The sequence below is a fragment of the Homo sapiens genome, chromosome 18 (genome assembly GCF_000001405.40).
Source record: "Homo sapiens chromosome 18, GRCh38.p14 Primary Assembly".
Classification (NCBI taxonomy): Eukaryota; Metazoa; Chordata; class Mammalia; order Primates; family Hominidae; genus Homo; species Homo sapiens.
The window spans coordinates 61,329,112-61,354,859 of record NC_000018.10 but is presented as its reverse complement, the minus strand read 5'-3'; the positions used below and the strand labels follow the sequence as shown (position 1 = coordinate 61,354,859).

General features: G+C 40.5%; 1 protein-coding gene across 3 annotated transcripts in view; it reads right to left on the bottom strand.

The window, feature by feature from the left end:
* CDH20 (cadherin 20) overlaps positions 1-21,430 on the bottom strand; it is a 222,350-nt gene extending 200,920 nt beyond the window's left edge. For all 3 annotated transcript variants that reach the window (XR_001753187.2, XR_001753186.2, NM_031891.4), the window contains exon 1: positions 21,033-21,430. The gene's annotated coding sequence lies outside the window, so the exon portion shown is untranslated. The remainder of the gene's footprint in view (positions 1-21,032) is intronic.
* Positions 21,431-25,748: the final 4,318 nt, after the last annotated feature.

The window sequence follows — 25,748 nt, the reverse complement described above, 5'->3', positions numbered from 1 at the left end:
AGTACTTACAAATGTGTAGGTAGCTCAAACCTAGAATAGAATAGCCCAAAATATGACAGAATTAAAAATAAAGATCTGGATAAGCTGAGCGGATGAAATAAAATAGAAAAAATAATATCAATATATGTTAGGGTTTCATGCACAGGGGGTTACTTTTAGATCCCCAAAAGTAATTGTCTCAGTACAGCATGAGGGAAGTTTAGCTACTCATTTGAAAAAAAACCTAGGGGTTTTATTTATTTATTTATTTTGAGATGAAGTTTCACTCTGTCGCCCAGTCTGGAGTGCAGTGGTGCTATTTCGGCTCACTACAACCTCTGCCTCCCAGGTTCAAGCAATTCTCCTGCCTCAACCTCCCAAGTAGTTGGGCTTGCAGGTGCCTATTACCACGCCCGGCTAATTTTTTGTATTTCTTGTAGAGATGGGGTTTCACTCTGTTGGCCAGGCTGGTCTCAAATGTCCGACCTCAGGTGATCTGCCCTCCTTGGCCTCCCAAAGTTCTGGGACCACAGGCGTGAGCCACCACACCGGGAGACCTAGGGGTTTTAATTTGCCAGAGGCTTGCGTGACTTTTGCCAATAGTGTATAATTCCACAGGAAAGAAGGCAGTGTTTTCACTGTTGGAAAAGTAGAATGGTGTCGAGACCAGCACTCACTAAGAGAACCATCTGCACAGGTGGAAATGTTCCAGATCAGTGTCATCCAGTGTGGGAGTTAACAGCCCTGAATGGCTGCTGTGCCCTGGAAATGTGGCTCATGAGATGGAGAAACTGAAAGCCTTCTTTTTCTTTTCTTTTTCTTTTTCTTTTTTTTTTTTTGACAGGGTCTCTGTCTGTCACCCAGGCTGAGTGTGTGGCCCAATCTTGGCTCACTTGCAACCTCCCAAGTAGCTGGGACCACAGGTGCACGCCACCATGCCCAACTAATATTTTGTATTTTTGGTAGAGATGGGGTTTTGCTATGTTGCCCAGGCTGGTTATGAACTACAGAGTTCAGGCAATCCAACCGCCCCGGCCTCCTAAAATGCTGGGATTACAGGCATGAGCCACCATGACTGGCTGGAACTGAAAGATTTTTTTTAACTTTTATTAACATAAGTTTAAAGCTGAACGTCCTTGTGTAGTTAGTAGCTGCTGTATTGGCTAGTGCAGGCCAAGATCAAGAGTGATCTCAGTGGGTTTGGAGTTGGTCGAAGGGCATTTGATAGGTGGTGGTCCGTTACATTTGAGGGTCCATTAAATTTAACTGAACAAAATCTTAACAAACACTAAAATATGTGCAAAGCACTGTGATACACACTGTCGGATATTCAAAAGCAAGTAAAGCTGTGTCTATACAATTACAGATCATCTTCTAGAAAAAACAAGAGGACCACAAGTAGACAAATGATTAGTACTGGTATTGCAATATGAAGTCCATTTTATGAGAATCTAGGGGAAGAAGAAGTAACTATTGACCCATAAAATTGAGAAGGCTTTTGTGGAGAGGTGAGCCTTGATGAGTAGTCAGATGTAGAGAGATTGAGAACAGCATGTAGATGAGAAAAGCCCAGGGCCAGAGAAGTATAAGAACAAAGGAAAGAATGTGTATTGGTGTGTATCATGCAAGAGAGTTATCTGGATGTAGATGGTGGAGAAACTAATGCCACGCTAAAAACTCTGAGCTTTGTTATGTAGACAATTAAATGAATGTTTCTAAGTTAGAAACTGATGTATCAGACCCGCGCCTTTGTTGGGGCACACATCATGGAGGTGATTGCAGGGGAGGTGACCAGGGTAGCCATAAAATAGAAGCTATGGACAGCATGTGAAGGTTGCTAGAGAAGAGGCTGACTGGGAGACCATGTTGGCTTTGTTTATATGTTTGAAGAGCTATTATATCAAAAGGAATGAGAATTATTCTATGCAGCACTATAAGGGGCCAAGGTAGTGTTTTTATGCAGGCCAATTTTGATCAATAAAACAAGTAAGTCCCTAACAATGAGAACTTCTATGAATGAAACAGATACCTTGTGAAATAGTGAGTAAGCCCTTGGCCACCCAAGGATTTTGTGTTGGGCAGTTACAGGAAAGAGTCCAAGTAGTTTCTAGATTTTGAAATTTCAAGAATTGGTCAAAACAGCCAAAGGGAGGAGTCAGAGTTACTAACATTTAATTTTGTCAAGTAAGAATATTGTGGTCTTATTTGCCAATGTGGTCCAGCAACTAAGGTAATTATTATTTATTACATTTAGATTGGGAGAATCATCATCAGTAAAACAGTATCATGGCAGGCCCTCAGGAACTTGACAGAAGTTATAGACATGATACGGTGATCCAGGTACTGAATGCTGTAATAATTAGTACAACAAATGTCATTTACAACTCCAGAAATAGTAAAAAGAGAAATACCAGCCACAAATAGTTATCATAGAGGGCAAAACTTTCCATTTCTTTATTATCATAAATCACAAAGCTCCATTGATGCATATTTTATCACAGCACTCTTGCCATATGTGATCTGAAGTTCTGAGTGCATCCCCAGGGACCACAGTTACTGATATAGATAATCAAGAATTCCTTTTATGCTCCTCTCAATGCTGCTACAGCTCAGATTGAAATTAGCATCTTTTACAATGAAATACCAGTTGCTGTCACAAACAGACATGACAGCTGGAGACAGAGGCCTGTTTATCCAGTTATTCTTCATGTTTCCAGTTCATTATGGTTTATTAAGATGTGTACTGTAAGTTCCTGAATGAAGAGACTTTGAGTTTTGCACAGTGATTATCATTTAAATAGAGGCATCGAGAAGCTGTTCTCCAAGGAGGGAGTGGGCAGTGATGAAGGTCAAAGATCAAAAACATCTTAATAAGCACTTTTAAATGATAATCATTTATTTTCTCAAAATAAGTCTTTATGCATGGCTTTATCTCGCTCTCATAGTTTGAAAATCATTTTTCATTGCAGAAGCATTTTGAGGGGAGGTTGATAATTGTAACTCAACATGTATTGAGAATCTACCATGTGACAGGAATATACTAGATGTATCTACAAGTTTTCTTATGACACAGGTATTCATGACATCAATCTCATGACACAGGTAGTAGGAATATATTTTAAAGAAAGACATCAAGTTACCTGGCTAATATCACAGAGCTTGTACACAGATTTAGGCATCCCAAAGGTGCTGCTTTTTAAAACTATCCCCATATCACCTGAAAATTGTTTTTTTTTTTTAATTAGACTTTGCAGTTATTTTTGCTGTCCAAAAGTAACATAGAGGCAAACTAAACAAGTTCTTCTCTCCTGATAATATTTGCAGCTACCATTTATTGTGTGTTTCCTATGCACTAGGCAAGGTACAAAATGTTTTATATTGATAATCAAATGTAATTCTTTTGAGATCAGCATTATTACTCCCACTTTTCAAATGAGTGAACCTGATCAAAGAGATTAAGTAACTTGTCTGGAAATTTAAGTAACTTGCTCAGGGAGAGGCAAGAGCATGATTTAAAGTCAACCAGACTGCAACATCCATGGCTGAACCCCCACCTGAGACTACAGGAGCTTACCAGAGGATGGGGGGAGTGAAATGGGAAGGCTTATGGCAGTGGCTCTCAATAAGTAACCCTGGGACCAGCAGCATCTATATCCAGATGGTCTTACTCGGTAGACAGTGCACTTAACCATTACACAGTACTGCTACATTGTGTCTTCCAAGATTTGTTAGGGAGTTTGCATCTCATGTTATAGCTAATGTGGACTTATTGACAATTAGTTGGTATACTTCCTTCACCCACCATCAGTGCCATCAAACTACAAGAATTCACTTAGGCACCAAGATGCTGCTTGCTGATGAAGAAAAGGTTGTGAGCTGTATCAGAGACTGGAAGACGCTAATGTGTCACATTTCCTCTTCCTGGGCACACAGGAAGAGAACATTTGCCTGCCTCCCTTGCTGTTAGGTTGAGGCAGGGTTCTGGCCAATGAAAGGCATCTTTATTACTAACTGTGAAACACTGAAAGATCCTCTGCACTTTCTGTCTTTGCTCCCCTGGTGACTTTGAGGAAAGATTTCTGCCTTCTACCTAGAGGAGGCAGAGCCACCAGATGGAAGCAGCCCAAATTTCTGAGTCATTGCTTAGAGGAAAAGTACTCAGAAGGATCACCTGACATAAAGCTGAACTATGAGGTGAGCAAGAAATAGACGACTATGGTGTGAAGCCACTGAGACTTGGTGTTTTTCTTAGAGTAACTAGCATATATTACCCTATTTAGCGGGCAGTTCACACTTCAACTCTGTTTGCAGTAATGGTTTGAACCCTCAGATAGCACACTTTCCTCTTCCCAAGAAGATAATAATAAGTTCTAGTGATTCACTTATGGTTCCTTTGGATTAAGGGTGGAATCGTGCATGGAATCGCCCTCCATCTACATAATTACCATGATATATTAACTCAAGACCGCTGGAAGTCCTGTCCTACAACCAAGGTGATTATTAAAGGGAGTGCAGTCCCATTAGGAAGTTAAATGTCCTGAAAAAAGGAAGAGAATGAAGGCTTGGAGATCAGCAATAATTTTTTATAGAAATTTAAATAAAAATGATGAGGGCCAGAACATAAAGTGGTAGAATAGAGAGAATAACATAGATTCTTTGGGTATGTCTGAAGAAGACAGCAATAAACACTGCTAAGCAATGTGAAATGCAGTGTCCACCAAAGTAGTATACAGGCAGTTTAGCAGGGAGAGAGGGGACCTAGTGGGAGGATAATATACTGTACAAGCAGGAGCAACGGCATGGAGTTCCTGGAATCTAGTTTCAGATTAGTCAACTACTGTGTGACTGCTAGGAAAGTCACTTAAACTCAGTGGATTCCAAACAACATGCAGTGATTTCTTCGTGCTTGAGTCAATGTAAATGTAACAAATACATTAGCTAATAAGCTTTGTTGGTGGAAATGGCACCTTTGCCTTGATTTTTTAGTCATCCATTTAAATCTTCAGCTCATGTAGTTTGTGGAAATATAAGCCGAATTACATGTGACAACCTGCAGCGTGAGATAGATTAAAACACCTAATTTTGATATTGTTTGCCCTTCTCTCTTTTTTTTTTTTTCATCTGTCACTTGCATGTGACAATTTAGAAGTTTATATACTCTCTGGCCTAATTTAGGATGTTGCTGCATTTGGATTTTTAGTCTTAGGAGAGATATGGCTTGAATGAAGCAGTTCTAATACTCATTGCAGAACTCCTAGGTGCTGAATCCGTAGATATCCATGGAAAAATAATTGTCACTGTGCTGTGTAGGAGTGAATCTTTAAAAAGTTCATGCCAACAACAGTGAAAAGGGCATACTTCTTTGCATGGCAAAAACAGAATGGAGTCATTATAGAATCTGTAGGAAACATTCATTAAGAACTTAAATTCCTTCTAAATTAGCCTATTTCCTGGATGTCTCATATTCATACATCTCAACCTGGGAAGACATATTCAGAGAAGGAGTCCTCTGGGTTCAGCCTGTAAATTAGAATTTCAAACTGCTAACAGTTCATGAAAGTCTTCTGTTTTCCCTGGGAAAGCACCAATCTCTAGGGCTTAAATTCACCTGTTCATTTTTGGATTTGGGTTGGATCTGCTAGGAGGAAGCAGATGGTGAAAATCAAACAGGAGATTTTTTAGCTGTTAGGGCACACAGAACAGTTTTGCCAAAATGCCATTTATTGTCTAGAATTCAGAGATGGAGACCATGGTTAGTTGTTCTGGTAATTCCAATGTTTCTAACAGCCACTCTAAAGTGATCATTTAAAAAGAATACACATTTCAACCCCCACAGTCTTAAAAGCACAGCCTACATGCAGTTTAAAAATAAATATACTTCCTCCAACACATTACAAAGCAACGCCTAGATTCTAAGTAAAAACAAAATCTAGCTATTCGTGCTGAAAAATTTCCCCCTTTCCACACAATCCTGCTTTACTGCCCCACAAAGCTACACCTAGATTCCAAGGAATAAAAATAAAATGTAGTTATTCATAGTTTTACCAAGCTGAAGTTTGTTCCTTTTTCACACAATCTTGCCTTACTGCTCCCTCCCAATTCCCCTCCGAATGTTCCTTTTCTTCTCTCCATGCTAGTTGTGCTCTCTTACCCCCACTTTCTACCTTTGCAATCCCTCCTTTCTTTAGATGGGGTGACAATCTAGATTTCTCATGTTTTTACGGCTATGTGGATTGGATAATCGGCTGACTGACAGGAATGTGGACTTAGAACCTTCCCAGCACTGAACTGACACAGTGGTATGTTTCAGGGGTGTTGTAAAGCCCTGGGCCATTGGTATCCATGTGCCCCACCATTCAGAATGGAGAACTCTGCCATCAGAAATCAGAAACCCAGTCTGCTTTGAAGCAGGTTATGACTCAGCTGGTGGGAGAGAAATTCAACACCCAAGATAACAACTGGTGAGGATACCATAAAACATGGTGCACAAGTGTAATTTAATATAGGGGAGAACATCAGAGTCTTGGGGTGGGGCAGAGTAATCTATGACTAATTAAGGTCTCATTCAGACAGAGTGATTTTGAACCATCTTTTGGGAAAAGGATCAGAGATAGTTCAAAAGAAATACAGTTTCCTCAAGGTGTGGGAATGATAGGAGCAAGCCTGTGGCAGAAACAGTTCCTAAGAATAAGGAAAGTAACACATTTGGCACAAACACACTTTGACTTAAAAACATTAATTGAGACCTAAAATGTTCCAGTGGACCACCCCCCCAAAAAAATGAAATCAATTATAACCAGGAGAAAGGTTGATGGCAGGTAGCTCTGAAAACATGAAATAATACACGTGAAGCCAAACTTTGCAAAGGTAAGGTTCTATAGGCTCAGGAATTATCTTTATTGCTATAATTATCAACTAATAAAACTATGTTTGAGTTCTTTATGTGTGTGGGAGGGGTCAGTTGATAATATTTGGCCAAAAATACATCGTGAGTTTTAAGAAAATGTTAGCCACATGTCCATCTGAAAAAAAAGTATTGTTTATGAATTTCTCAAAGTCTCTAAAAACTTACATATGGCATTTCCCCTCCTAGTTTTATTGAGGAAACTCTAGATTATCCTAGAGGAGGCCCTCTGAGGAGAGGCTGTTCCAAGGTAAATTATTATTTCAAATTTATTGACAACACATCCTTAATTATATCTTTGTTGACAGCTAGTCACTTTGTGTGCATAGAATTTGAAACAATGCATATTCCAATTTGCCTTGGAACCAGAGAAACGTTTAACAAAGCATGTGTTTTTGTGTTTTTGTGTTTTTGTGTGTGTGTGTGGTTTTTTTTTTGTTTGTTTGTTTTTTTCCCTGAGGCAGGGTGTCACTCCATCAACCCGGCTGGAGTACAGTGGCACGATCTTGGCTCACTGCAACCTCCACCTCCCAAGTTCAAGTGATTCTCATGCCTCAGCCTCCCATGTAGCTGTGATGACAGGTGTGTGCTACCACACCCGGCTAATTTTTGTGTATATATATATGTGTGTGTGTGTGTGTGTGTGTGTGTGTGTGTATATATATATATATATATATATATATATATATTAGCAGAGACAAGGTTTCACCATGTTGGCCAGGCTGGTCTCAAACTCCTGGTCTCAAGTGATCTACCCACCCTGCCCTCCCTAAGTGCTAGGATCACAGGCATGAACCACTGAGCCTGGCCTGTTTTTGTGTGTTTGATAGTTAACATTTGTTGGCAAAAAACTTCCTCGGTTAACCCTTTCCACATATTCTCCCATTCCTTGCTCTCAGACTATCAAATTTATAAAATCACAGCAACTATAAAGGAACAGAAAGCAAGAGCAAAAATAGAACCGATGGACCATTGGGTTATCTGGTACACCCAGCAGAAGATAAGCCCAGCACTGGCCAGGTGGGTACAGCATGCCAGCACCCCAGACGGACATGCTGGGAGGAGCTGAAATGAGATAGGAAGGGGAATAAGAGCAACTTCCAAGCTTGGGCGCCTGGACTTCACTTATTTGACTTTTCTTTTGAAAAATTAAATTGCTAGATCCAGGGCTTACCTGTGTTCAGCTGAAATATAAAAAATCACTCACCTACTCAACTGTAAATTATTTCAGATCATTTACAATTTCACACAATCCCGACCTCTTCTGTTCTCTCAATTAGTGTAGATAATGATAATTGAACTAAACTATGTAATTAACCTCATATCTACCTAGATTTTTCTTTTTTTGCAAAACCTCAAAGAGAAACGTGTGTCAAACTTGTATTTTATTTTAATATTTTCGTGTTCCTTGAAAATTCTACTTACTCTCATAAATAAAGAATACTTGTCAGAGCTATGCTTTTCAATTTTTTAAAAAACAATTTTTTTTCTAAGCTCCTTCCATAAATTGTTTATTGTTCAATGTGGCTGTGACTTTTCAATGCAGTTACTTATTTTTCATGCCTTCAATTTGGTATAAATATTTCTTTTGCCCAGAATCAAATGCATAAAAGGTTTCCTTTCATCTCAAGGATGCAAGTTATTTTGTTATCTTCTATGGGAAATTAATAATGGTGGGGTCAAGGTGCGGAAGGAAGTTAGCGGATCCCTCTAACTTAATGACTGCATATTGTAATAGAAATAACTCATAACGATGCAATTCCTCTCTTCCCTTCTGATAAACAAGACCATGGCTTAGTGGTCATTCTTTTTCTTTTCTATTTCTCACTTACTCCTGTCCTAGTTATTCAAATACCTAGCCAATGACTTCTAAAGGTGCCACCACCTGAGGTCAGCTACGCTTTCCAGAATTAGACATAAGGGTAGAGATGGATGCCATAATGACTTCTGTCACACATTGGCTCAAGGAACTTGGAAAGCCCAGGGCCCAGGTACTGGCAGCACTTGCCTGGAATATTCTTCAGTGCTCATAGGATCCGTCTGGTCTTAAGTTTGGTGAATCCAGAAAGGGTGGCACCCCTGTTTCCTTCCCATGTCAATCCTAGTCTGTTTTGTCCAAATTCCCAAACAACCTCTCAGATCTTACATTCTGGGTGGCTCGTGGAGGATGGAAGTGCTGCTCTCCTAGTTCGCACTCTATCCTGCATACTTCTCAGAGATGTTTCCCATGATTCATTAAGACATCTGGGTTCTTGATTCAGAACATTTCCCATCATGAAGTATCCTGAGAGCATTCTTTTATATAGGTTTTCCCCTAAGAAATAATGTAAAAACCTAGGGGGAGAAACATCGATGTGCTAATCTCCATTCCACTTCACAAATTCATATAAATGTTCTTCAAGCCCCAATTTGACATGAAGGAATGGTACCCTAATGAGCAAATGTTATGGTAAGGGGTTCATCGAGGCAGTTATTTTAGACATGTACCTGGGCGGGTTGTGAACCTTCAGTCTAAAACTGTTTCATTAACAGCAGATGACCCTGGTCACTGACAGGTGAAGAAACAGGCCTTTCCTCAACTCTGCAAGCCACAAGGCCCAGCAAAGCCTCCTGCCTCTTGGCAAAATAACCATCCCACCAAGAGCTGCATAAGATGCTTTTTAAGTCCTATGACAAGTGCTTGGGCTCCCTCCTACAACCATCTTGATACTTTGCAAGAATGGTAAACATAGACTTAGGGACTTCCATAAACGTTTAAGTGCATGTGAGCGCCAGGGCAGCAATAACTTTAGAAAGCAAATGCTGAACAGTGTTTTAAATCTTTTGCTCAATATTGTCCGGATTGGTGGGCATGAAGCAGTCCTTCCTAAGAACAGGAAGTCACCCGATTTAATTTGCAAAGTTAACGTTAACCTCAACTAAATCAGAGTTCACTGGCAGAATGGTTTAGAGGTTTTCAGTGTCTTTCTGGCATTGAAATGATAAAGGCAGAGAAAGTAGTTTTCAAAGTCAGTTTGGTTTTATGAAATGTTCACCAAAATAATCATAAGACAGAAGATAACCAAAGGAGATAATCATAATCAGAAGAGAGCATGATCTCCAATGATAAAATTATCTTTAAAAAAAACCCTTGACCATTGGAATTTTCTGAACTTGTGGAAATGAAAGTCATGATCTTGTTTTGCACTAGTACCTTCCAGTCTGGAGACCTAGGTTCTAATTCCCTAATTTATAGAACAGCATCTGAAATGCCATTACCAATCTTTCTTCCATAGACATTTTTTTAAGCCCTAAAAACCTTATTTTGCTCATTTACTTAAAGTTAACTCATGGTAATTTGCACTATTTGAAGGAAGTGATATCATGGTTAACAGAAAGCAGCAAATAATTTTTAAAATGACGTATTTTATTCTTCGGAAGATATTTTAGGTATCTGCATTTAAATAGCCATATGTCTCAAACTCTAGAAACTGGCAACATTTCAAATTAAATAGTGCATCCCTGCTGAAAGGATGAGGTGGTATACTGTAGTATTATAGTTACAAAACAGGCTTCATAATTTTGGACAGACTCAGGTTCAAGCAGTAAGGCTAGAATAACTAGTTATGTGATCTTGGGCAACATATTTATCTTCTCTGTGACTTCATTTCTTCAGCTACTAAATGGTGATGATATTTGTACCTCATGGCATTATCAGGAATAGATGGGATAATACTGATGAAGTGCTTTTGACAGGGCTTGGCCTATGGCAAGTGATTCTTATTTTATATGGCATGTGGTAGGATCCTCTTTCCTGTGTATTCTCTCTAATTTACCCCTCTGAGTGACTTTGCGGGTTAGAGAAAATAGTACATCTTGCTTTTCTTAACAAAATTACACAGAGTAGTTTACAAGGTCAACCAATAGCCTCTAAGAAAGAGTTCACATGCACCACAGGCTAGGAAGCACCTTGGAGGACCTCTGATACCTTCCCTGATCTGATGTCTGTGCTCAGACTCCTACAGGCCAGTCATCTGCACGTTCCCCTCTGGCTGCTGGGAACTCACTGCTCTCCAGGAAAGCTCACTTCACTGTAGGGCAGTTCATCATTAGGAAGCTCATCATTTTGCTGGGATAAAATATGCTTCCTTGGGATAAAATATGCTTCCCACTCATTGACCCTGGTCCAGGCCTCCACAGCAATGCAGAATAAATATATTTTCTATTTCACATGAAGATATTTCAGATACTTGAAGAGGATTATTGTGCTCCCTCTAAGTCTTTTCTGTGTCAGGTCGGCTATTTTGAAGACTTTCAAACATTTCTCATGTGGAAGGCATGTTGTTGAGCCCTTTCCTGGCCAGTGGCTACTTTCTACACAGCTCAGGTACAGTGTGATGAGTGGAACAGAACAGGACATCACAGTGCACCCTGACCAAGAGAAAGTAAAGCAGGTTGGAGCCATCCCTGGAAACACTGGGTATCTAAAGGCCTGAATTTGCATCCTGGGTCTGCCTTTCTCCAGCAGAGCGGTCTTGGGTAGAGGCACTCAACCTCTACATTGTTTGCTTTTCTCACTGGCACATGTTGGTGTTAAATTTTATCTAGTCATATATAGTGGATCATATCAGCCTTTTTGACCCCATTTCTTCATCTAATATAAACTATTCATTCAGGTTTCATTAAATTTGTATGACTGGCATACCATAATGTGCATGTCCATGCCACAAATTAAAGCAAAATGTAATACATTGCAAATCCAGCTAGAAGCCCAGAGCAGAGCATTGGGAACCTGCAGTAGGGTAACCAGGGCTTCAGTGGTTTATTAAAGAAGTAGTTGTTGTGCACTGATTATGTGCCAGGTAAGATACTGGGTTCAGGGCATATAAAGATGAACAAGAGAGTTCCTGTCCTTACCCTCAAGGAGCTTGGAGTCTAATAGACCATCTATTAATGGGCTTTTGGGGGCACTGTGGACAATGCCCTTACAACCATTGTTCCAGCTTTTGTTGGTACAAAGATATAAACATGGCAATCCCCTGATCACCCAGTATGGTCCCAAAGGAAACCAGTTTAGTAGGGAAAAACCTGATCTTAATGAAGGCATGTTGACTTAATGATTTTTTTCTCCTAAAGTTTTGTCTGATATATATCTTTTTTACAAATCATATATAATGTGGCTGATGTAACCATGGGAACTATCTACATTATGATCTGGAAAATAGATGCCCTACTCTTAAATTGAAAATGTATACTATAATAAGGAATACATGAAAATTGAACTTTACTATGGCAGTGGTTCTCAACTAGGGGTACTTTTGCTTCTGGATTTGACATTTGGCAATGTCTGGAGACATTTTGTGTTGTCCCAAGTGGGAAGATATTATTGGTATCTAGTGAGTAGAAGACAGAGATGCTGTTAAGTATCCTACAATGCATAGGGGACTTCCTGTTCCAAAGAATTTGCCAGGCAAAATGTCAGTAGTGATAGCCAGGGTGAGAAACCCTGCTTGGGAAGAGGAAGCAGTAGAACTGAGTGGTGAAGACCACAGGCGTGGGAGCCAGAGAGTCCTGTGTTTGAAACCTCTTGTGGTGACCACTTCATCCTGCCTCAGTTTCTGCATCTACAAAGTGAAGATGGTAACAATACTGAATTCAAAGAGAGGGTTAGAGAGGTAATGCACATGAAGCACTCACAGTGTCTGGCAGAGAGGTATGGCTAAATAAATGGCGGTTATTTATTTATTTATTTTTTTGCTCTGTCAATTTTTCCTCTGAATACTACATGTTTTGACATGAGTGAAATAGATAGATGTAGCCAGAGAAATGTATAATACTTGGTATTTCATGAAGAAATCTGTTGTTTTCCTGTGTTTAAAGAAACAACTCGAAACAATTTGATCTTCAAATGTTAGCCAGCTCCATGAGTCAAATAATATCCTCTGTGCTGAGCTGCCTGAAGTATTCCACTGAGATGCTAACTGCCAAATGGATTAATATTTTAATGACTGCTCAAAGAGTTTATTTTCAAATATGAGTATGCCTCATATTTTTAGACTGAAATAAATGCTCCCAATATTATGGAGATGAGGGTATCAGCTAAGCATAAAGGTAGACGCAACTATAACACTTCAAAACTGTGATGTTAATGAAGATGTACCCTGGTTGCCAGCTATTATTTGCTTTAAATGCAATTTGATATTAATGGTAGCACAAAAGTGTTATTTAATCTTTATTTATAAGACGAACATCCTTGGGAGATCTTGCCAGTTTGTGCAAAGTATAGGCATACATTTAGATTCTTACTTAATATTCCAAAAAAGCCTACAAGACACATGCTCTCAAGTGTGGTGCTTGCTTTCAATGAGGTAATGATGGTTGGTGCCTCTGCAAATTGATGTGAAGTCTTTGATGCAGGGAATCAAGGGATTTGAAAAAGAAATATTGGAAACTGTATTGTTTCTTGCATTAGAAAATGAAGATGAGATGCAATGACCTGTGAGTGTTTGTGTCTCCCCCAATTTCATATACTGAAATCCTAACCCACAATGGAACGGCATTAGGCGGGGGGGGGGCTCAAGGCAGTCATTGTGTAATCAGGGTAGATACAGCCCTTATGAATGAAATTCTTGCCCTTAAAAAAAGGGGGACCCCAGGCAGCTCTCTTGTCCTCTTTCTGTCATGTGAGAATACAATGAGATGATAGCAGTCTGCAGCTCAGAAGAAGGCCCTCACCAGAAACGGACCATGCTGGCACCTTGATCTTGGACTTCAGCCTCCAGGACCATGAAAAATAAATTTCTGTTATTAGTTGCCAAGTCTATGGGATTTTGTCATTTCAGCCTGGACAGAGTAAAACATAAGAGAACATTGGCACCCGTGTGGGAGGTGGGTACGGAGATGGCTGTATCACCCAGTTAGTTTCTCCCAGTCCTTCTCTGACCTTCAACAGTGGTAGGTAGGTGATACTGCCTACTCTACATGTTTATTCAAGCCATTTGCATAGGAAAAGATATCCTTTGATGCAAAGATTAAATGTTCATTTCTATCTATTTTGTTACTCTTATTTTAGTGCTCAACACCTTTCAAATTAAAAAGAAACATATATTTGGTAGCCCTTTCAAATATAGATAAGATTACTTCTAAATGAAATTTCTTTATCCAATTTTTAATTAAATTGCTAAAGGAAATTACGTCTGTTGGCTTAAAAACAAATTATGGTTAAGTTCATCAATTATTTATAATATGTACAATTTAATCCCTTATTAGGATTGGTGAGGGGTTCAAAGACGCTGAGTTTACCAAGTGAAACAATCGTGAATATGATAAAGGGTGTATGCTAGTCCTTCAGAAAATATTTTGTATTAATAGCTTTGACCAAAGATTTGTATAAATATATGTATAATACTTATGAGTACACTTAGTGCTCAATTTATATAAGCTGCTATTTAGTAAGCTGTATTTTTAAATTACTGGGGGAAAGCGGAAATCAAAATTTGGTTCTGTCCAAAGATACCAGCTAAAGAACACCAACAAAAAAACTTTCCTGTACCTCTTTCCATGCTATTTTGCCCACAACCTTAACTCTAATCCTAGTAAACAACCCTCTCTGGGAACAAGTGGTAATTGAATCTTCATGCTAATTCTATCCTGGCTTTCTTTTGACTGCTAGCTCCCAATTATGCCAACATATTACACTATGTACTGTTCTCTGGGAAAATGCTAAGACTACCTTGTTCATTCAGCTAAGGTCAGACCTTTAAAAAAAAAAGAAGGCTGAAGATTTAGCTAAAGACAATTTAGTTCCTAACAAGCATCTGTTTTTCATTTTGGGTGGAAGGTTAACATTGCTTATTTTAGTTATAAACCAGGTGCAGGAACAGATAAGTAGGAGTGTATTAAGAGTTAAGTTTTTGTTATCCTGCCAGATGTTGAACACAGAGTTGTGGTTGTATGGTTGGAGTGTTGGGGTGTTGGGGGCTACATGTCAAAGAAATTTCTATGACCTGGCCGGGCTCAGTGGCTCACGCCTGTAATCCCAGCACTTTGCGAGGCCGAGGCGGGCGGATTACGAGGTCAGCAGATCGAGACCATCCTGGCTAACACGGTGAAACCCTGTCTCTACTAAAAATGCAAAAAAAAATTAGCTGGGCATGGTGGCGGGCACCTGTAGTCCCAGCTACTTGGGAGGCTGAGGCAGGAGAATGGCATGAACCCAGGAGGCGGAGCTTGCAGTGAGCCAAGATCATGCCACTGCACTCCAGCCTAGGCGACAGAGCGAGACTCCATCTCAAAAAAAAAAAAAAAAAAAAAAAATTTCTATGACCATCAGATGTATCCATTGCATGGAATCAAATTATCACTTTATTAGTTACCCTTTAATTAGTTGATATAACAGAGGACATGCAGTTATTTAGTCATGATTGGTCTAAGACTCAGCACTTAATACATGAACGTAAAGATGGAAAGAGTAGACACTGGGGGCTTCAAAAGTGGGAAGGCTGGAAGGAAGTTGGTGGTTGAAAAATTATTATCTATGGGGTACAATGGTCATTATTTGGGTGATGCATACACTAGAAGTCCAATCTCTCCTTATGCAATATATATGTGTGTGTGTGTGTGTGTGTGTGTGTGTGTAATAAACTTGCACATGTACCCCTTGAATCTAAAATAAAATAAAAAAGACTCAGTACTTAAAGAGTAGAATCTGATTATGTTACTACTGGTAAATAGTAATTCAGAGATAATACCACTTTTTTTATAAAGAGATATTGTACATTTTAACAACATATATGCATACGCACATTTAAGAGTTAGGTAAAACTTAAGAAAAAAACCCATTAACTTAAAGATTTCCTACTTTCTCACCCCCCTCACGTCCACACCAGAATATCACCAATAATTATTACTAACGGTCACAGGCAAGTCTTGTCAATTGAAAGAAATAATTCAAAGTAACAAGAACCATTCAAATATTTAACTAAATATTTGATTAAATATTACAAATTTATTTAACTTGAAAATTCAATTGATTCAATTTTATATTCCTTATTAAAAACCAAATCAACACATATTTTTAAAGAATCTATTATGAGCAAGATTCTAGTCAGGAGTTGTAGAACTATAAAGAAGAAGAAAGGGCTCCCATGCAAGATACCTCTTTACTCTTTGGAGGTAATGGCATTAGTCAGAATACACTCTAAACTTGTGATTTGATTGTTAAACATTCTTATAAATAGCGAGGATACCCCCATTTCAGGCTATGCTGTGCATGTTTCTGACATGTGCACTTTTGCATGGTATTTTACATGCTGGCCCTTATTGCTTAGGAAGAAGAGATGAGTGGTATTGTTAAAATTTTATGTTTTAAGGAGGTAATAGTTTATAGCTTCCTTTACTCTTTTATAGTGGTTATTCAATGACATATTTGTAGGCCAGATAACCTCTCTTTTATGATCTCTTAAGCTAAAAACAAAAGAAAAATTACATATACCTTGAGGTGAATTGGATCATTTCTATTTTGCATTGCACTTGAGTAATGTTTTGAGTTGAATCTTCTCAGGGTTCTAAAATTAAGTTAATCCATATGTAATTAGGAACATTCTTAACTAGAGAGTCCTGGTTAGCAAGAGATTGGCAGATTATTCTGAAACACTAGTTAGCAAACCATGGATAGCAATTAAATAAAAAAAAAAGAATAAAATTCTCTTTAAAATAGGTTGTTGCAATAACTTAATGTGGTAATATGATTTTCTATTTTTAATTGCTGTAGACAGTGCATTTTTTAAAGCAAAATTTTGTCTTCTGAGAGCTAGTTTCATAATTTTGTACTACTTATGCTATTTAGCACTTCAGTAAGTCTTCTGCTTTTGCAATCCCTTTTGATTTGTGATGGATAAAATAAACTAAAGGTTAGTAAAGATAGTGTTGCACCTCTTAAGCAAACAGACAATATTTTGGAGAAACTAAGTATTTCTCTTTATGAGACTGTATGACCTTATGTTATACAGTTATGTTATATTTATGCTAATGTATAATGCTTTTATAACAATGCTTTTATTCCCAGAACAATTATACTTAACATTGACACTTAAAGATGTTCCTTTTTTATATTCAACTAATGACAACTTTGCTCTATATTCCGTGTCAATATCAGGATTCAGGGAGGGCTGAACCTAATGAACGCATGGTTCTTCATTTACCCCTCCCCAGATACCATGTGCTTAATGCTGTGTATAGTCCCTTACTTATGTCTTCATTTGCAGTAGTCATTTCAGAAGGAGTTGATGACAGTGCCTTCTTTTAGTAAATAACAATAAGTCACAGTCTACCGAATATAAAACCTGTAGATGCTCAGTTGCTTAAAACCACCTTTATTACATAAAATATGTTTTCTTGGTCACTAAATTAGTATGAAAATACAGAGGAGGTTGTTTCTTCAATTAAATGTGAAAGATTAATCACTGTAGCAATTTGTTTCATAATAGAAAACAAATGTCAAAAATGAAATATTTACTTTTTAAGTCTTATATGTCCGAGAAAAAAGTATTGGAGAAGCATAACAATCTGGTGCTATTTGCATATATGTTGATTGAGTTGACATGGAGTTTACATATAAATAAAATATATTTAATACTAGAATTAGGTAATGCGTTTATTTTTATTATAACTTCACATGCTGTTTTTAGAGGGCAAGAAATTTTCCCCATATCCGAAGTAGAATGTGGAGGGAATAAAAAGTGGCAGCCCTGAGTCTTAGCTCTCTGGTATTCTGGGGGTATGCCTTTGGGGGAAAGGGGAAATAACGAGGATTTCCCAAAGTACCATCAAAGTAAAACAAATGAATGTAAAAGTGATAAATGCTACTTTTCTATTTCTCTCTTGCTCTTATTTTCGCCACCCTGCACTACTGATGGCAGCACCACCAGATCAGAATGAACAATTAACTGTCTAATTATTCGAGTCACACCAACCCACAATGAAATCTTTATTCCGTGTTTACAGCAATCTTTGGCAGAGGCTGTCTTGCTGTTTCTAAACTAAGAAGAACTGCCCTTTGGCTCCTCTCGGCATCAGCTGCCTTGGTTTCAGCCCTGGATGCCAATAATCAGACTTCTTTTTCTTCCAAAGTGGACATTTTTTTTTTAGGGTGAAAAGACCTATTCTCATCACCCCCCCCCATATATTCTGGCTGATTTATGTTCTCGCCACTGCAGCTCTTCCTTCCGTGTCTCTTTACGTTTTTCCTTTCTCCATAGAACACCATCAGCAAAACCCCATTTTAAGTCCAAAATTGAAAAAAAATGCTTGGCCAAACAGTGCTCACTACTATGAGGGAAAGAAAAATACAACTACTGGTTTATGGGTAGAGGGAAGTCAAGGGACTCCCTCCTGCTTTTCTGAACTGCTAATTTTCTAGCTCAAAAGGCATTCAATAACTTCTCCACCAGGGGAAAAACATGTCCACTTTTCAGTGGCTCTCTTGATGACTTCCAACTATTTACTTAAATCCACCAACAGCTGCAGGTCTTTGAGAAGCTTCAGAACTTGGGGGATATTTACAAATGTATAAGGGTCTGAGAGGGTAGAGGGTACATCTGAGTCTCTTGGAGATGGTAAGAGAAGACTACTGCGCTATGACTGACAGGAAGAGAGAAGTTAATACCAATCCAAAGTCTAGAAGGAGGCAGTGCTTTTACCCAATGGAGGAGGGAAAAATACCTTGGTTAGCCCTCTGGGCTATCTCAGGGAGTCCTCTTCCTGAATCTGAGAGCAGAGGACAAGCAATGCTAGATCTGTTATCCTATGCTGCTCAACTGCTTTCTCCAGACGAACATTGCTCTGCTCTTTCAGGATAGTGGCGTCTTCCTTCCGATTCCAGTCTCTGAACCCTGTGTAACAGTTCCCCTAACAACTCTCAATCTCTCCTCTCAACCCTCAGCACTTACTACAGTCACAACGCCTTTCCGGTGAGAACTGGGTCATAAAATTTTACAGGGCAGAAAGGTAGAAGGGGGCGTTTCAGTAGTATAAACACTGATTAAATTTCCCGGCAACTCTCCCCAAACGAAAGATAATTTTTCTACAAGTATGCACAAGAATGTCAAGAATGCTAAGTCATTTTTATGTTTGTACTTTCCTTTTCCATTTTAATTTTATACTGCCACATGGCACACATGCTAAAAATGTATCTCCTTAACCTGCAGTGTAGCAAACTTTTCACAAAACATTAAAATGGCATATTTTATAGACTGTCCTTTCCCAGGATGCTCAAAGTATTTTTTTGGATACAAAATTAGATCATCTCACGACAACTGTCCTGTTAGAAAGGCACAGTTACTTGAGTATCTGCAGAGAGCGAAAATCAGAAGCACTGAAAAGAAAGGTCACGCCAAAGTCAATGGCCAGAGCCTCAGTAGATGCTGAGAGCTTGGTTCACAGCCTAAGTAGACTCTAAGAGCTCGGTTCCAATTTATAACACTTCCCTCCTGCTCTTCATTTGTCTCTTTTTTCTCTGGCAGGAAGGGATGTGGCCAGCGTGGAGGCTTGACCTCATCTCCTGCACTCAGCTTAACTCTGCCATACTGTTCTCCCACACCCTCGCCCAGCTTTCTGCTGCATCAGCTGCCCAAGCCTGCACCCTGGGCAACATCTGAACAGGGTCAAGCCAAGAGTTGGCAACCACAGGTGCCCTTACGGATTCCTCCAGTGTCAGGACCTGAATCCTTTCAGCATGTCCAACGAGACTGCAAGGGTGACACTAAAGGGAAAAGATTTTCCCAGGTTATATAAATAAATGAAAGGGAAACGCTGGGTCAACTCTCAAGATGGCTATGCCTTCAGGGTTCCCCAGCCAGAGGCGGCTGAGGAAGGTGAGCAGATAGGAACATAATACTCATCTATAAGCGTGGGTTCAAACTCATCCTAGTTTCAACTTTTTGTTGTTCTTAGGTAGATCCAATTCCTTAGCTGAGTCCCTGACAGCACCACAGCTCTGAGTGGGTAATTTCCTTTGGTGGAAAGACACACATCAGAGACTGGAGGAGGTCCGGGGACATTTCATTTGAGGGGAGGCGGCTGCAGGTTCAATTTGCAGGCGATTTATAACAATCAGAAAAAAAATTGTTCCTGGTGCTCGTGCCAATAACAAGAGCATTAATAATAATAGCAACAACATAGTAAACTCTGAATCTACCAGGCGACCAACTCCCCGATTGTCTGGTACTATCCCCTCTCACTTCCAGCCTGGTCTCGGCAGAAACAAACAAAACAAAACAAGGCTCTGACGCTGCCTCCGGGCTGCCTTCCAGATTTCAGCCCCCACTGCTGCCCCAGAGGCGGATAGCTAGGCAAAGGCTGCTGCAGTCTCTCCGATTGCTAAGGACACGTTGAGAGTCCTCGGTAACGTTCTCTTTGCAAATCTGAAACTTTAGCCCCATTTGACCCCCTTGCCCCCGGCTCTTCCCCCAGAGTAACTACAACAAGCAAAAACCAAACAGCGAGCGCAATTCAGAGCTTTCCTTGGGAGTGTCAGGGCCCGAGGACAGGAAATCCGGGGAGTTGGCGAAGTCCGGCAGGTGGCGGGGACTCGAGTACCCACCACATTCTCCTCCCACAGCCGAGCTCCGGCGGGGGCGCGGCGCGAGGCACGGACCAGGGATCGGCCCCGTAGGTGCCTGCGCCTCCCCGGAGCCTGGCTCTCTGGTCCCCTTCCCGGCGCACATCTCTGTGCGAGGGACGCGGCCACCCTGTCCCCTCTGCAGGCGGAGGGAGGCGCCACCGCCTGCGGGGCCAGCGAGGGTGAAGCCGTGCCAAGCGCCCCCACAAGCCGCGCTCCTGGATCCCCAGTCACCATCCCCAGGCGCGCGCAGTCCCCGCTCCCAGCGCGCCACGTCCTCCACCTGCCCCGGTGCGCCCCAGCTTCCCTGCTTCCAGAGAGCAGCTCCCCCAGTCCCGGCAGCCCATTTCCAACCCCTTCTCCCACTAAGTCCGAGGAAGTCGAACTCGGAGCGGCCGGTAGGCTCGTCGAGGTGGCAGGGAGTTGCTGGGAGAGCACAGCGCGGAGAGGGACCGCGCACGCCGCCCGGGGATTTCGCCCCAGAGGGCTGGCTCCGCGCGCCCGGAGTCCCAAGCCCCAGAAGCGGGGCCCGACCCGAGCCCTCTGCGTTACCTGGCACCGCCGGCGACTCTCCGGAGACCTTCGGTCCTAACTGCTCCAGGGCGGGCGTTCTGCTCACGTAGCTGCCTCCCCCACTGGGCGGCTGGTGCCCCGCTGGGTCTCTTCACCCCTGCTCGCGGCGCTGTCCCCGCCCCCCACCCCCCTACCCCCTCTGTCAGAAGTGTCACAGCTTTTCTGCCTTCGGATGTTTCGCAAAGTCTCCGTGCGGTTGCCAGGAGTTGGGGGGTACTGCCAAGTGCACCAACCCCGCCGATGCCCTGCCCTGCCCTCCCGCGGCCACCGCGTTCGGCCTGTCCAGTGAGAAGAGCCCCCTGGTCGCGGTCACCGTCCCCCGAGCGTGGCGCGCGGTCCGCTTCCCCTCCCTCGCGCCTTCCCTAGCAGGAGTGGCTGCTGCCTGCCTGTACCGCGGGTCCTCATTCCCCTGCTCATGAATATTCTGACAGAGGCTAATGCCGCTGAAGTAAATTGAATTAGCCAATTGGTGCCAGGAATGTGCGCTCCTTCCTTCTGAGGAGCTGTCTGGAACCCCACCAGATGAAAGCAATTAACGTCCGGTTGGCACCCTGTGGTTTAGACCAGTGAGGGGCAAAATGGGTTAATTCTTTAAATGCAGTTTAGATACCGCATTTAAATGTTTCAACTCCTCTATTGGCTGAGAGCGTAAGGAAATGTTAAGAGGGAGAGAGAAGAAAGGGGATGTGTGGACGTGGGGAGGGGGGCGGGGGTATTTACATCTAAACTTTCCCCTGAAGTTGAGGTAATTATTTTGCACAGATTCTGGAAGAGGCAATTGAGGAGTAGAACAGGATAAGGCAAATAAAATCAGAAAGGAAATGAGTACCAACTCGGGTTTAACCTTGACCTTGAGGGTGCAAAAGACATTGTTTTCAAGAGGAGAGGTAGGGGAAGATGGCATGTGTGAGGGAAACCTCACTCATCGACTTTTAAGAATTTCTTCAAATGCTCAGATTTCCTTTTCTTTTTGTCCTCATAGGAAAATCTTAGAGTTTTAAGCCTTTAACTAGAGATGGGGTGGAGGTATATTAAGGGTCAGAAATTTCTGAGGTGGAAGCTGAGACCACCCTTCTCTCCCAGATGAAGGGGGTCCCCCAAATCACACAATACTGTGACAGGCCCATTCCAGAAGGCAATTCCAGCTCTTATTTCTGAGGTCAGAATACACAAGGTCAAAAGGAGAGATCACCTCTCTCCTGTCCTGATTCCTACCCTAGAATGTCAAGTTACTGACGACAACTTGGGTTTCACAGTGGCTGGAGGGGGACTTTTTGCCCGATGTGGTTTCTACATTTCTCTTCAAGCAAGGTGCTTGGAGGATTTCCTCCCCCATCACTGATTGTAATAGAGCAAGTTATTTTGATTGAATTGATAGGTTACTAAATAATCTATTTGTACAACTGCTCTGTGGCCAAATGATCAATGTGTGTAAAGAACTGATAAAATGATATATATAAACATCCAATAAGATTCCCAAGTGTGTGACAATAGAAATAGTATCCCAGTTAAGGCAGTCATGCCATATTTTAATAGCTTTCAGCAGGCCTAGAATTAGAACTCATAGTTATAACAATGATTATTAATAGCAGAATAGCTAATGTTTATGGAGAACTTGTTATGTGACAGACATGTGTTACACATGTTATTTCATTTCATTTTTCCAACAACTCTATTCAGTCTAGACTATTATTTCTCTATTTTAATAGATGATGCAGATGTGGCTCAATAAAGTAAGGGCAGTTGACCCTTGAACAACATGGGGGTTAGGAGCACTGACCCTCGTGTAGTCAAAAATCCGCATATAACTTTTCACTCCAAAAACTTAACTACTAATAGCCTACTGTTGTCTGGAAACTTTATGGATAACATAAGCAGTCGACTAACACATATTTTATATGCTATACATTTTATATGCTGTATTCTTAACAATAGTCTGGAGGAAAGAAAATGATACTAAGGAAATAATAAGGAAAATGAAATGTATTTACTATTCATTAAGTGGAAGTGGATCATCATAAAGGTCTTCATCCTTGTTGGCTTCATGTTGAGCAGGTGAAGGAGAAGGAGGAAGAGGGAGGCTTGGTCTTGCCCTGTCAGGGATGACAGATGGGAGAAAATCCATGTCTAAGTGGACTCATAGAGTTCAAACTTTTGTTGTTCAAGGATCAACTGTAGTGTGTCCAGGTCATATAGCTCATAAGTGGGGAGATCAACTTTGACCCAAAGGACTCTGATTAGTGGTCCAGGGCCTTCCGGTCTCTAGCAGCTTAAACTGTCTTCTTGTCTAAAAAGAAAATCAGTTTCTTGGTGTTTTGTTGAAGTGACTTGTTTTTGGTGATCAATTTCTTACACAAAATTTAGAGAAAATCATGAGTCTTTTTTTTTTTTTTTGGATAGTGTGATGGTTAATTTTATGGGTCAACTTAACTGAGCCATAAGGTACTCAGATATCTGGTGGAACATTATCGTGGAAGTTTTTGTGAGAGTGTTTTTTGGATAAGATTAGCATCTAAATTGGCAGACTGGATGAGGGAGAGAGATTGCCTTCCGTAATGTGGGTGGGCCTCATCCAATCAGTTGAAGGCCTGAATAGACCAAAAGGTTGATCTACCCTCAGATAAGGGCTGGCTTTTCTCATGTTTTTATAGGTTCTTATGAGAAGTCTTTGGGATGAAAGATGTCTTCTTTTACCTTCTACAAACGTGTGTTTGAAAACTTTTTTTTACCAAAATTATATTCCATTTACTGAAAGGAAACAGCACATTATAAAGTGCTGTTTCTCTGCACAGAGCTTGTGTCTAGTTTTTAGGACTAGATATTTGCATATTTTTATAGGTCTTATGAAAAGCCTTTGGGATGAGAAATGTCTTATCTTCTACGATGGTAAAATTTTCTGGCCTGATGGGAAGAATTTTCTGGCCTGATGGCCTTCAAACTCAGACATCATCTCTGCAGATTATGGATTTGCCAGCCTCCCTAATTGCATGAGTCAATTCCTTATACTATATCTACCCATCTACCTACCTACCTGCCTACCTACCTACCTTTAGTTGGTTCTGTTTCTTTGGAGAACTTCAACTAATACAAATTGATATATTCAGTAAACACAACTATTTGTGAATCTCCCATGGATATCAAATGTCTCCATCTCCCAATACATTGGTACGCAGTGTGCAGTTTTTTTACTTAAGATTTTCCAGGCCTATTATTAATAAGGTAAGAGCAATTTTATTTTTCCTGTTTTTTTAAACATGGGTGAGACTACCAGATTTAAATAACATTTTATCTTTCAAGTACTGAAAATGGACTATAATATATTAGATTAAAGCAAAATTTATAGATATTATATAAAGGGAGAAATTTGAGTATTATAATTTTAGGGATAAGAATGATCAGGTTAAATCTTTGAATTCAACAGTTGTTGAGTACCCACTAAATGCAAGGCACATGTCTATTCAAATGTTTTCTGTTCAAATCCACAGTTAAATCCCTTTTAAACGTTGAGGATCTGCCATATTTTATTCTCTGAAACTTTGGGTAGTTTAAAACTTTTTATGTTAAAAAAGTGTATGACTGTTTTATTCTCATATTAAATACTGATGATTTTCCCAATCATGATTCCTCCCTTACAATGCTCTGTTAGTTCTTCCTTTTACAGAGAGAATCCACTTAGGATTTAGAAGCAGCATTTCACAGAAATGTCTTTAGATGTTAGAATATGTATTTATATGAATATGTTAACATGATTTTAGAGCTCATAAAATGTTATCAGGATGAGTGCTTTCTATATTTCCTCAAGAGTCTCAGTGGGCAGAGTCAGGGGAAGACCACTGGAGTCTGAGCGGGGACACTGGCTCCTTGTTGCAGGTGTGGGCCCTCTTGGATAAGCCATTCTCCTTTGGAGTGAACCAAGTTAGTGAGTGTGCAAAGTGGAAAGAATAATACACTCTTTATTGAGTGCTTTGCTACTTGCAAATTGCTCTCCCATATGCTTTCTCATTCCATCCTTCTGACAACCCTATGAATTCAGTATTATTATCTATATTTAATTGATGAGGAATCTCAAGCTCACAGAGATTCGGTAGCATTCAGAGCTTCTCCTAGGAAGGGATAGAACAGGGACTTTAATCCAGGAACAAAGTCACCTTCTCAGTGAAACTGTGTTTGACATCTCCCTCTGCCTTCCCTCCCTCAGCCCTGCCATGCACACACACACTTCTTTTTCCAGTGGAAATAACAATTCCCTCCTTCGTGCTCCCTTAGGACATCCAAGATGTGTAAATAAATTGTTACAACGCAATGTGTTGTTTCTACCAGTAATCAAAAGCAAACTGAAGTCAGTAACTTTGTCTTAATAATTTTTGTGTCCCCAAATTTAGCTGAATGGGAAGCACTCAGCACCAACACCAGTCCTAGCACACTTCTGAAAATGTGTTCCATTGACTCTACTGGGCTATCAGGAATAAATGAAATAGTTGGTAGGTGTCTGGAAATTTAAAAACACCATATAACGATATTATTGTTATTCAAAAGTAGATTCCGAAACAAATATAATAATTTCAGCCTTGACCTCTGGCTGATAAATTCTATGGGTGAGAAAAGCATTTGATAACTTTTATGTCAGCTTCTGTTTTGGGGACATGGATGGATAACACTTGCTCAAATTATAATCATCTGGTTAATAGTAGCACT